Source organism: Homo sapiens, chromosome 4, assembly GCF_000001405.40.
Source record: "Homo sapiens chromosome 4, GRCh38.p14 Primary Assembly".
Taxonomy (NCBI): domain Eukaryota; kingdom Metazoa; phylum Chordata; class Mammalia; order Primates; family Hominidae; genus Homo; species Homo sapiens.
Window position 1 is genome coordinate 38,004,222 of NC_000004.12, and position 12,512 is coordinate 38,016,733.

General features: G+C 43.1%; 1 protein-coding gene and 1 pseudogene across 27 annotated transcripts in view, besides 1 other annotated feature; one reads left to right on the forward strand and one right to left on the reverse strand.

Annotated features, from left to right (window-relative positions):
- TBC1D1 (TBC1 domain family member 1) overlaps positions 1-12,512 on the forward strand; it is a 248,090-nt gene that overhangs the window by 113,138 nt on the left and 122,440 nt on the right. For all 27 annotated transcript variants that reach the window (XM_011513659.3, XM_011513660.4, XM_011513662.4 and 24 more), the window contains one exon: positions 10,288-10,752. In XM_011513659.3, the coding sequence (XP_011511961.1) occupies positions 10,288-10,752 (465 nt within the window). The remainder of the gene's footprint in view (positions 1-10,287; positions 10,753-12,512) is intronic.
- Positions 607-901: a silencer, noted in NCBI's record as "tiled region #1196; HepG2 Repressive non-DNase unmatched - State 23:Low, and K562 Repressive non-DNase unmatched - State 23:Low". NCBI's record gives its function as "represses a minimal TATA promoter and a strong SV40 promoter by Sharpr-MPRA in HepG2 and K562 cells {active_cell/tissue: HepG2 | K562}" and the evidence as "EXISTENCE:reporter gene assay evidence [ECO:0000049][PMID:27701403]".
- MRPS33P2 (mitochondrial ribosomal protein S33 pseudogene 2) lies at positions 2,359-2,935 on the reverse strand (annotated as a pseudogene).

The window sequence follows — 12,512 nt, forward strand, 5'->3', positions numbered from 1 at the left end:
TACTCTTTTAAAGGTTATTCTGTTTTAGTTACTGCTCCAGATCCCTGGCTCCCTCCGGATGGAATGTTTGTGGTCTAGTAAGCAGTACTGGGCTCACTCTCATATCTTTGTACTTCCCTCCCTCCCTCAACCTGCACACACTAAACAATTTTCTTACACTGAAATGCAATTAGCAGTCCTGGCAGTTTATGCAAAGGTTGGGATTTATACTCGTCACACATTTACCAAAATGCTTTATTATTGAGCAGAGTGCCTGATGGATCCTGAATATGCCTTTTTTTTAAACAAAAAAGAAATCTTGTACTTTCTTTTTGTACAGTGTTTGCAGTTAATGAAATCAATGCCTTAATTACCTATCAGAAAGGAATGAGATGGTTCTAATATGGGTTCTAGTGAAATATGCCCTCGATGATAAAAGTTAGTTGCAGAACACTATGATCCCACTTAAAAAAATTGGTAAATTACCATTAAGTGTACACAAAGAACTACACAACAGAAAAGCCAGATTGTTAACTGTAGATGTTTCCAGGGATTATGGGCAACTTTATGTTTTCCTGTTTTTCTTTTATGTGGATGTGTATTGAACTAATTTTTAGAAACCGAAGATAATTAAAGAGTACATTTTGTAGCTGTGTTCAAAAAGGATAGATTATTGAAAAACGGTAAAACATGAATATTTGTTTTCCTTGGTTCTTGAGGTTAGCCCTTTTATGCCAAGGCAAAATGCCTCAGCAGCAACTTAACGAGCCCAGAAGAAGGGTCTGACCTGGCTCCCTGGCAGGGAGGGGGAGGGAGAGAGCAAAGTGTTCTTCTCCTTCCATCTCCCCCGCCTTTCTGTTCAGCCGTAACCGTCTTGCATCTTCTTGGTTATGAAATGATTGACCTTTCTGTTGAGCCTAACAACACCTCTGCTGGTGCTGGTTTGGATTGGAGGCCCCAGGATGCGGAAAAAGGGTGTGTAAGAGGAGGGTGCTCCGGAGATATAAATGTGTGCTTTATTTTCCTCCTAAAGCAAGAGGATAGGGAAGGGAAGAATGCAAGAGCAAAGCTTACATTTTTCAGTAGTTGTTGCAGTTCTGATACATTGATCTCATTTGTTGTGGTTTAAATACACAGAGTGAGATCGTAAGGTGCTGGCTGTCTGGGGCTAGTTCTACCTGAATCTTGGGTATTGTACATTATGTGAGAATTAAGGTTATGATTTGATTTGAAAGACTAGGCTGTTTGCAGCTTCAGTAGGGAGTGTTCAGAGATGTTTTCCTTCCCTGGTGTTTATGTCTGGGTGTGCTTGTGATCCCCTAGCCTGGCTTCTGAGACAGCAGTGCAGCCTCCTGGGGGATATCTCTGTTTCTTGTGGCTTCTGGCCTGAGCCCCGTACAGGGAACTTTTCTTTTCTCCTTAGTTCCTCTGAGGGAGGAAAGCTTTATCTTTTACCTTAGAAATGAAGTCCTGCCCTCAGAGATCTGGCTAAAACCCAAAAAATTCCTTTGCTGTGTTTTTCATTGAGGCAGATTCTGTTTATAGGTAAGCAAAGCTGGATGTGAACCCCAGAGAGCCAGCAAGGCCATGTGACTTCTCAGCTGCCCCAGTCACTGGGGAGCAACTCCAGTCCCACTGCTGCCATGCCAGGGGACTGACATGGAGAAGACATGATGCCATGGTAGAAAACCGCATTTCCAGAGAAGCACAGTCACCTCTGAGTGACACATTAGACCCATGTGTGAGGCGTTGTGTAGATACTTTGCAAATTACCCGTGTTTTTTGGTCCTGTTTCTTTGTCCACTTGTATTGTATGTGATTACAGCCCTTTCTCATTTTACATAGCAGGGAGCAGAGAGGGCATGGGAATAAGGTGCAAGCATTCAAACATGAATTGCAGTTTGGCTGTGGTTGTTAAAAATTTTTGATATGAGCTAAAATTTTATTAAATCTCCTTTTTTATGGAGAAAAAAATAGAATCAGTTTGGAATTCCAGGAGGCTTTGGTGACTTTTTTTTTTATGTATTCATTTCATTAGAGAATTAGGTAAACCTTATATTACACAGCCAAGGCCAAAATAGTTTTGCACAGTTAAAGTGTGTTCAAGAAACCAGTCACCATTTAACTGGATTAGACTTCAACAAGGAGATGATAACCTCCAAATAACCTTCCTTTAGGAAGATGACATTCCTCCAATATGTGGAAAGACAGTAGATGCATTTTCTTCTCTCTGCCACAGAGGAAGAAATTTTCCCTCTTGAGGGACCAACACTATTTTTTTTTTTTTTTTTTTTTTGAGATGGAGTCTTGCTTTGTCACCCAGGCTGGAGTGCAGTGGCACAATCTCGTCTCACTGCAACCTCTGCCTTCCGGGTTCAAGCGATGCTCCTGCCTCAGCCTCCCGAGTAGCTGGGACTACAGGCATGTGCCACCACGCCCGGCTAATTTTTTTGTATTTTTAGTAGAGATGGGGTTTCACCATGTTAGCCAGGATGGGCTCAATCTCCTGACCTTGTGATCCGCCCACCTTGGCCTCCCAAAGTGCTGGGATTACAGGCGTGAGCCACTGCGCCTGGCCCAACACTATTTCTTTTATGCTGCTCTTTTCCCCTCTCCTTTCTTTGGTTTCCCCTTTCCACGAAGCTTCTTTTGTCATCTTTGCTCATCCTTAAAATCCTGATGCTCATCTCTGCAGAATCCAAGAAACCAGAGTGTTCCCATGAGTGTGGAGTAAGTGTTGTCATCTGGATACCCAGTCATAAGTCTCCTTCTTCTTGGCCAAGGGTGGTTCACTAAACAGTGTCACCATTTTCATAGACTTGGAATCAGTCGGCCTGGCGACTTCACCAAATAGCTGAGCACTGAGACGAGACATGCGCAGGGCATATTCTGAAAGAGAAGACATTTCTTGAGTGGCAAGGAACTGGAGTCCCTGGACTTGACTTTCCTCACCCACACCTGGTGACTGGTTTTATTTTAAGAAGGGCGGGGTTTGGTAAATGTTTGGCATCCTATCTGCTTTTACTTTTTATTTTTTTATTTATTTATTAATTTATTATTATTATTTTTTGAGACGGAGTCTTGCTCTGTCGCCCAGGCTGGAGTGCGGTGGTGAGATCTCAGCTCACTGCAACCTTTGCCTCCCGGGTTCAAGCAGTTCTCCTGTCTCAGCCTCCCAAGTAGCTGGGACTACAGGCGCCTGCCACCACGCCTGGTTAATTTTTGTATCTTTAGTAGAGACGGGGTTTCACCTTGTTGGTCAGGCTGGTCTCGAACTTCTGACCTCAAATGATCCACCCACCTCAGCCTCCCAAAGTGCTAGGATTACAGGTGTGAACCACTACTCCCTGTCCCTATCTGCTTTTAATAACTTATTTGAAATGCACCCTGTACTGAGATTTTGCATTTCTCTATCCTCAACCTCCTTAGTACTTCTGTAGCACTTGCTTTCCACCCTGTTTAGTCATTTATGTGCTGCTTTATTCCCTCTGTCTAGACAGATTCAGTCTTTTTTGTCTTTGCCAGTTTGTTCATCTCTGCGGTAAGCATGGTAGGGATCTGTGCAGTTTGGCTGCCCTTCGTGCTGTTCACAGTTTGCCAAGGGCCTCCATAATGAAATGGATTTGGGTAGGATGGTGCTGTGGGTGGCATGCGGAGGAGGCCTTCCTATGAAGCCCTGCCTTCCCTGGGATGTGACAAAGGACAGCTGATGAAGCCAGGCTTCTGGACTCTGGCTGCCCGTTAGAACAGCCAGGGTAGGGCACTTTGAAAACTGCGGGAGTGAGGGCCCCACCTCCAAACAAGCTGCTTCATTTAGGTGGGTGGACCTGGACATCAGGGCTTGAAAATACTGGCCATTCCCATGTGCAGGCACATTTGAGTTGAGAATCAGTGCTTTCAGTGAAGGGGCTGGACTTTGAGGACTTATATTCTCATCCAGATTGAATATTCAGTGATTCCATGAAGTCTATCTATATTTATGCTGGCCACCCAACATTTTAAGTTTTAAAAACTATTTTAGAAAACCTACGAAATAATTTCGTATCCTTACAGTGCAATCTTCCTTTTTCTTTCTCACCTCCTCCCACCCTCTTTTAGCTCCTACAGCCATTCGATTACTTCTTTTGTGGTTTCATAGTTTTAAATGTTTGTAGAAAGGTGTTGGTCAGTCAGAAGGTTGTAGTGAATCTTTTAAACAATTATTTTGGAGTACAAACTATGTTTTGTGTTTGCATAGACCATCTCTGTGGGGTTTAAAAGCTACTAACAGCTTATCCAATTTGCCATTTCACAACCAGGGAAGCTGAATAATGCTACTTCTTTTTTACATGGGATGAAAGATCAAGACCCAAAGGACAGAAAGATAAGGCAGAGGGGATGAAAAAGGGGCCCCTGTGTCAGGGGCTAACAGTCATTAGCACTTCACCTATGCCCAGATGCCTCCTCAGCCAGCTAACAGGGACACCTGATCACTCCTTGGCAAGATGTAACACATTAATCTGACCTGTTGTCTAATTGTAAGCATGAAGCAGGCATTGAGGCATTAGATCACCACAGCATGAAGCAAAAGAGCCAAGACAGACCACTGCACAGGAGCGGCCTTCTGTGCCTTCGCCCATGTTTGTGTTCTGGCACCTGTCACCTTATATTGGAAATCACATATGCGTGAGCCTCCTAAAGTCAGAGGGAATCATGTCTTACTCATTGTAGGAGGCATATTCAAATCTTCATGATTGAATCTAGTCCTGTCAGGCTGAGCTGCTGCATAATATGAATGTTTACCTGTGTCCTATCTAGATAGCAACTGATGGTATTTTCTGTTTAAATGATTTAAGTAATAGGCACTCATATTTTCTCAAGTGTTTTGCATGAAATTTAAGGCATGTAAGATAGAGTGAGGAAATACTTGGTTTAATTTAGTTTTTACCCCCTTCCTTTATACCTTACGACCAACAAATACAAATAACTGCTTGTCAATAAAAACAAGCCACAAATCTGTTCCTTCTGGACAATGATTACGTAGCATTTTTTTTGTGTGAAGTGCTCATTTGAACTCCTTACAATGAGAAAGCATTTCATCTAAGGGAAAAAACACAATGTGTCCGGCCATATTTTTGAAGTCTTAGAATGTGTTACCATCATATAACGGGAAAAATGCTAGAATTTTAAATACACAGTGCTTCAGACTTATTTAATATTTGTTTCTTACTTGTTGACAGAAAAACAAAGCAGCAAATGTAAAGTAAAATGACTTTTTATTCTAAATATTGTTTCAGGAGCTCTTTCCTAAATCCTTGTGAATAAAATTACACTTGCAGTGTATTTATAATCCTTTATAATCCCTAAATCCTTAAAAAGCAAGTTGACCCAAATGTTTAAATAAGGACTTTATTTACAGAACTGAATATTTCTAATTCTCTTGGGATGTCATTATCTGGCTACATATGAAACAGTATTCACTTATGCATGCTTCAGAAACTTCATACATTACTGTGCATTTGTTAGTATGTGAACAAAGAAACTTGTTTTGGTTGTGAGCAAAATGCAGACTTACTTTCAAAATTGAGTTTTAGTATAAACTCAAATAGGTTGGCAGAAGAGGAGTTTAATTTTTATGTATCTAAATAAGGCCTGTTTCTTCATTAAAAGAAAATTAAAACTAAGCCCCACACCCTTATTGAATCTGTCCCAATAAGATGCTTTTTGGGTTCTTGTTTGTGCTATAGTTGGTTTTGATTTACTTCGTCTGCAAACAGAAATGACGTAGATACTATTGCTCCAACAAAACTAAAAAAAGATTTTCACTAAAAGTACCCAGATCATATCAGTGGGAATAAATCCACTGGCCTCAGTGTATTTGCCCAAAAAGGATCTGTGTTTTGCAGTAAATATTGTAATTGGAAGTATATGTTCTTTTAGACTAAATAAAGTTTTACTTGAGGACATTTTTCAGTTAGGCATGTTTATTTTGGGGGTTTAGTATTGTCTTCCGCCTTATTTATTTTTACTTATCTGTATGAGCCAAAGCTCCAGCCAGCTCTCTCAGCCCTTATCCTGTTGTAAGTTGCTGACTCCTTTTCTTGAAGATGGAGTGTCCCCTTTCTGGGCGTCTCTAACCTCATCCTTGCCTCCCCCCAGGTCCCCATCTTCTCTGCCTGCGATTCCTTAGTTTCTCTACACCTGAAATGTTGGGGTATCCCAGGAGCCTGTCTTGGCACTCCCTTCCTTTACTTTCCCTCCCGGATGTGAGCTGCTCATGTCCAGCTTAGACTCCCTGTCTTGGACTCTAGGCCCACTTACCCAGCTAGATGCCTTTACTTTCAAGTCCTCCTGGTCTTAACATAGACAAAAGCAGAACTCATTGCACTGTCTCCCCAAACCTTCTCCACTCTGCACTCCCTCTGTGAACTAATGGCACAGTCATCCACACAGAAGCCTAAGCCAGAGCCCTGGGTACCACGCCCCATCTTCAATATCCTCAGCCCCCTATCCAGGTCACCACCAAATCCTGTTAGTCCTGTCTTCCAGAATCTTTCATTCAGCCTTTCTCTCAGCCTTCCTCTCAGCCTTCAGTGCTTAGTTCTTTCTCAGTTCAGGCTCTCAACATGCCCCATCTCAATTACCGTAAAGGATCCTAATTAAACCTCCTCCTCCGGGCAGGGACTCATTTACATTCATCTTATATTTCTGAATCCCTGGCTCTGGCATCTAGAGATGCCTAGAAAAATGTATAGAAATAAAATGAAGTAAATGACTGAAGTCCTCCATGCAAATAGGTGAGTCCAGGACAGAGTTAGAAGGATAAAGAATTCAGGATTTTATAACGAGTGGACATTATGCCTTCATTTTTTAGAAAATAGTGCCTCAGAGGCTGGGCACAGTGGCTCACGCCTGTAATCCCACCACTTTGGGAGGCCGAGGCGGGTGGATCACTTGAGGTCAGGAGTTCAAGACCAGCCTGACCGACAAGGAGAAACCCCATCTCTACCAAAAAAATACAAAATTAGCCGGGTGTGGTGGTGCATGCCTGTAATCCTAGCTACTCGGGAGGCTGAGGCAGGAGAATTGCTTGAACCTGGGGGGCAGAGGTTGCAGTGAGCTGAGATCGCCCCATTGCACTCCAGCCTGGGCAACAAGAGCGAAACTCCATCTCAAAAAAAAAAAAAAAGAAAAAGAAAAAAAGAAAAAACAGTGCCCCAGGTCCATTCTGGTAGAGGGTTTTATAAACTTACACACAGATAGAACCCATTTTTTATTTAGTCTCTTAGTATACTTGACTAACTTAAAGTAATGTTTAAATGGAATTAGGCTTTTTAACTATTTGCAATTTGTTGTTGAAACTATATTTGGCAATATGCCCTTTGCCTTCAAATGTTCTGAAATTGTTAGACCTCAATTATCTCCTTTATATCTGTATTACACATAACTTCTTGGTGCTTCTGAATGACGGGGCACACCTTACCCTGAGCATGAGAACCTTGAGCTCAATTATGCCTGAATACTAAAACTTAGCAGAGCAAGGAGAGAGAGACTTTGGTCTTTGACTAAAGTGTGTCTTTTTAAGATTCTGAGTAAAGGATAGGAGAGATTGGTCCTTGGAAAAAAAACTACCACAACCTCGATTGTGACCAAGTTATGAGGTATTCTTCAGTTTCTTCTGACCCTGGGAATCCAGGGGACAGTTAAGTGATCTACTTTGTGTCATCTTTTTGTTTGTACCATTTACTACTGAGTCACCAACAAATTCATGTGACTTCACACATTTTCTCTCTCCTTTGATACATAATGAAAGACATCACTGCTCACTTCAGATGCAGCAGAAGACACAGCATGTAGAAATGTCAGGTATTTTCATAAGCCTCAGAGGACTGAATAAGCTTTGAATTTTCTGTTCAGAGTGGGGTTAGTAATTGGGAAGACTCACGTGACTTGATAAAATAATCTTACACACTTGCTTAGAAGAGTGGCAAGGTTCTTGTATAAATTGATTATTTTTGTTTGACAAATGTTCTTTACAGAAATCACTTTTACCAGGAAAATCTTATAAACTCCTTTTTGGAGAGTAACTATGGCTTTTTGTTGTTGTTGTTGTTTTTTGTTTTGAGACAAGGTCTCAGTCACCCAGGCTGGAGTGCAGTGGTACTGTCTTGGCTTACTGCAGCCTCCATCTCCTGGGCTCCAGCAATACTCCTGCCTCAGGAGTAGTGGGGACTGCAGGCGCACACCACCTTGGCTGGCTCATTTTTGTATTTTGTATAGAGACGAGGTCTCGCCATTTTGCCCAGGATGGTCTTGAGCTCCTGAGCTCAAGCAATCCGCCTGCCTTGGCCTCCCAAAGTGCTGGGATTACAGGTGTGCACTAACATGCCCAGTCTAACTGTGGCTAAGTTTTTACCAGGCTTCTGTTGTGAACCATTGGCAAAGATGTGAATGAAACCTAGACTTCATGCTCTCTTCTCTCTGTCCTGTCTTCTTTTTATAATTGACCAACAGTTTTTAGGCCTCTGTATGATGTATGATTATTTGGCAGTATAAAAGTGGGCTATAACCAAGCAAATGCTCAGTGCAGACAGATGCTTGACCTGTTGAAATTTTGGCTATTTTGTTTTTTTTGAGACAGTCTTGTGCTGTCACCCAGGCTGGAGTGCAGTGGCACAATCTCGGCTCACTGCAACCTCCGCCTCCCAGGTTCAAGCAATTCTCCTGCCTCGGCCTCCCAAGTAGCTGGGATTACAGGCACCTGCCACCACGCCCAGCTAATTTTTTGTATTTTTAGTAGAGACGGGGTTTCACTATGTTGGCCAGGCTGGTCTCAACCTCCTGACCTCCTGATCTGCCCTCCTTGGCCTCCCAAAGTGCTGGGATTACAGGCATGAGCCACTGCGCCTGGCTGAAATTTTGGCTTTTAAAATCATTTAGGTCTCATCAGGTATCAATTATTTAAAATGTAAAACTTTCCTAAAGATCTTTTGACTCTTTGTGTGATAAAATACCTTGAAAGAATAGTCATAATCTTTATGACAGAGAGATCTTTAAGGTGTATTTGATATGAAGTCACAAAGAGAAAAATCTTTCGAGTCATTGGTTTTGGGAATTATGTCATGAACACTGAATATAAGGATACTTTTAAAATTTAAAACCACCTCCTTTACTGTATGTGTTGATCTTTGACCTGAATTGGAAGGGGGATTTTTAAAATTTCTCTATAATGTTGTTAAAAAGACATAGGGCCTGTGGGTATTGGGCCTTAAATTGAATTTTCCTTATATAGAAAAATGGAAAAAATTGGTTTAGGTGTTAGGTCATAACAAAAAGTAGGCCCTTTTGAAGATTAAATTTATGCCTGCCTTGGCCTTGTTTAAATCCATGCCTGGCCACAAATATTAGTGTTGTGGCTGTCCATCATCTGAGCAATTGCACAGCTGTTTCATTCACTGCCGTGCGGATTCATCTTTATGTCTATGCTGCTTTGAAGAACCTTCTCAGAGGTTAATGATGAGAGGATGTAGCAGTAGGGACAACACCGTGGCAGATGAGGTCTTTTATTACATTCTTTTAATCATGATTTTCAGCATTAGAAACCAAAAGCTTTATAGTCTCCATGTGAAGAATCCCTGGTGAGCCTGTTTGCTGTGATAATATTAGTCATGGGTTACTCAGTCCTTGATTAAAACCTCCTAGCTTTGTTGACTTGCTAGTCACTATTCACCTGCTAGGAAATATAGGACTGAGTTGTCATGGAAGGAAATAATGGTGCTGGGATTTGAATAAATAATTTATGAGATAATTTCAGAGCCTTTGTCTTCTTCATCCCACCATTTATTAAAGAAGACTTTCCAAAGTATACTGCCATGAGATCTAGAATAATTGAGTCATGTTTTGTGAACCACGTTGGAGACAGACTTCTCTGGGAGGCGACAGCTTCTCCAGAGGAGGCCTTTAGCTTTGGAGTGGGACCAGCCTGGGCTTGAATCCAAGGCCTGCTAGGTTGGGCTGTGTGTGTTCCCGGGCTGGTGGTTTAACCTTGCAGGGTGCTGTGGGCATGTAAATCCTCCAGCGCAGCCCTTGGCAGGTAAGAGGTGCTTCATAAGTGTCGTCCCCCTTCTCTTTTCTGTGGAAGCTGTGTGTTCACCTCCCATGGGAAGACATTCCTAGTCCCCTCCCGTGGGCTCCTCCTCCAGTGGGCTCCTCCTCCAGTGCTCCGCAGTGGAGTAGCCAGCGGGGCGTCCCGAAAGAGCATGGTGCATTCATTCCGTGAGTGCCAGCCACACTGCATGTTCCAAATAACACGCCTCTCTCTCTCCTCAGGTGCCTGAGATCATCAGCTCCATCCGTCAGGCGGGGAAGATCGCCCGGCAGGAGGAGCTGCACTGCCCGTCCGAGTTCGACGACACGTTTTCCAAGAAGTTCGAGGTGCTCTTCTGCGGCCGCGTGACGGTGGCGCACAAGAAGGCTCCGCCGGCCCTGATCGACGAGTGCATCGAGAAGTTCAATCACGTCAGCGGCAGCCGGGGGTCCGAGAGCCCCCGCCCCAACCCGCCCCATGCCGCGCCCACAGGGAGCCAGGAGCCTGTGCGCAGGCCCATGCGCAAGTCCTTCTCCCAGCCCGGCCTGCGCTCGCTGGCCTTTAGGAAGGAGCTGCAGGATGGGGGCCTCCGAAGCAGCGGCTTCTTCAGCTCCTTCGAGGAGAGCGACATTGAGAACCACCTCATTAGCGGACACAATATTGTGCAGCCCACAGATATCGAGGAAAATCGAACTATGCTCTTCACGGTAAAATATCACCCAGCTCGTGCACAGCCCCAGTCTGCCATACGCTTTCAAGAGAAAATCTGCTTTATGGAGCGAAGATTCTTAGTCAATTGCTTTTGATTTATGTGTGAATCCATATATTTTCATGCTGAACAATTCTATTCTTAGGATAAGCTCCTTCCTTTAGCCATAAGCCTTTACAGTCATCAGGGAGAAACATGCCCATGTGTAATTTTTATCTCACCCGGTAATTATAAAGACACCTTTTCAGTGTGGAAAGAACAGTGAAAACGTGTAAATGAGACCAGCAGAGAGATTTAAAAAATATATATGAATTTCAGATGATATATTTCAACAGAATCTTTTAGTTGGAAAACACCCTCTCTACTATTAATATTTTTATTTATGAAACATTTACCCTTTGCTAATCAGGAAGAGTGGCTTTGTGAGTGACATTATATTTGAAATTTATACCCAAACTGAAATATTAATTTAGCCAATGGCTTGCTTGCTTTTTTTTTTTTTAGAAAAAAAGTGTTAAATTGACAGCCAAATGCTAGAAAAGGACTGAACATGGGGGGCTGTCCCAGGTGGGTGGGGTTCCTGGTTCCATGCTGATCTGGGCTCTTCTGAATGGGTGTGCCCTCCCTGGGAGTCCCCTGGGTCTGAACGGATGAGATGTGGAGCTGTCCCGGCAGCGAGCCGGTCTCTGACAATGGAAGAGCTAGTTTCTTCCTTGGCCTTCTCTTTGGCTTAATGCTGACTGACGTTCTGTAGAGAACAAAATTATCTTAAATATAAAGTCTCCTTCTTGTGTCTAATTCAGGGCACAGGTGAGATGGCCAGGGGGTAAAAAACCAGCTACCTAGGTTAGTGCAGTGTGGATGTGTGCAGGTTTAAAACCAAGGGGGTGCACCCAAGGGTAAATAGGGCTGATGTTTTCATCTTTTGACCATTGATCTAGTGTACCGAAAAGAGTAGTCAGATTTGTGCTTTAATTTGTGATCTGCATCTTTTAAAAAAACTTCCTTGGTGACATTGAGAAAGCTGCTCCCTGCATTTATTTATAAGTACTGACTGTTTGACTGCTGTGCTAACGTCCCTTGCCACATGCTGGAAATGCAGCCGTGAACAAGACAAGTATGTTCTCTGCCCACATGGAATTTAGATTCCAGTAAGGGAGACAGGCAACTGAGTGCACAAATAATTATCTAATTATAATTGTGGTAAATGCCGTGGAGGAGAAGTACAGCATGCCTGAGAGCATTTCTCAGGGTAATCAGGAAAGGCTTCTTTGAGAAAGTGATTTTCACCTAACACAAGGTTTCATTGTGGCCACCTGGGAAGGTCTTCTGGGCTCACAGAGCAGCAGATGAGAAGGCCCTAAAGGCAGGGATGGTGCCTGGTGCCTGGAGAATCCCAGAGGCCTGACTGCCTCCTTTGCTCAGCATTCTTCCCTCGAGTTGTCACGGTCTTACCTCCTCTTGCTTCCTTTAGGTCTCTGCTGAAATGTTGACATGGAGGAATAATCGTATCAGTAAGACCAATAGCAGCCTCACTTCCTGCTTTTTTGCTTTATTTTTCTCCATGGCATTTTTACCATTTGACACAATTACAAATAAACAAGTAAAAGATTTTATGTCCCACATGCCCCCAAGAAGATAGGCTTCAAGAGGGCATGGATTTTCATTTCTCTGTTCACTGCTGTCGTTGGTAGTGCCTAGAGCACAGCTGTTGGGTGAGAAATAATTCCAGATGGCCGCACTGAAAACAAGGAAGGA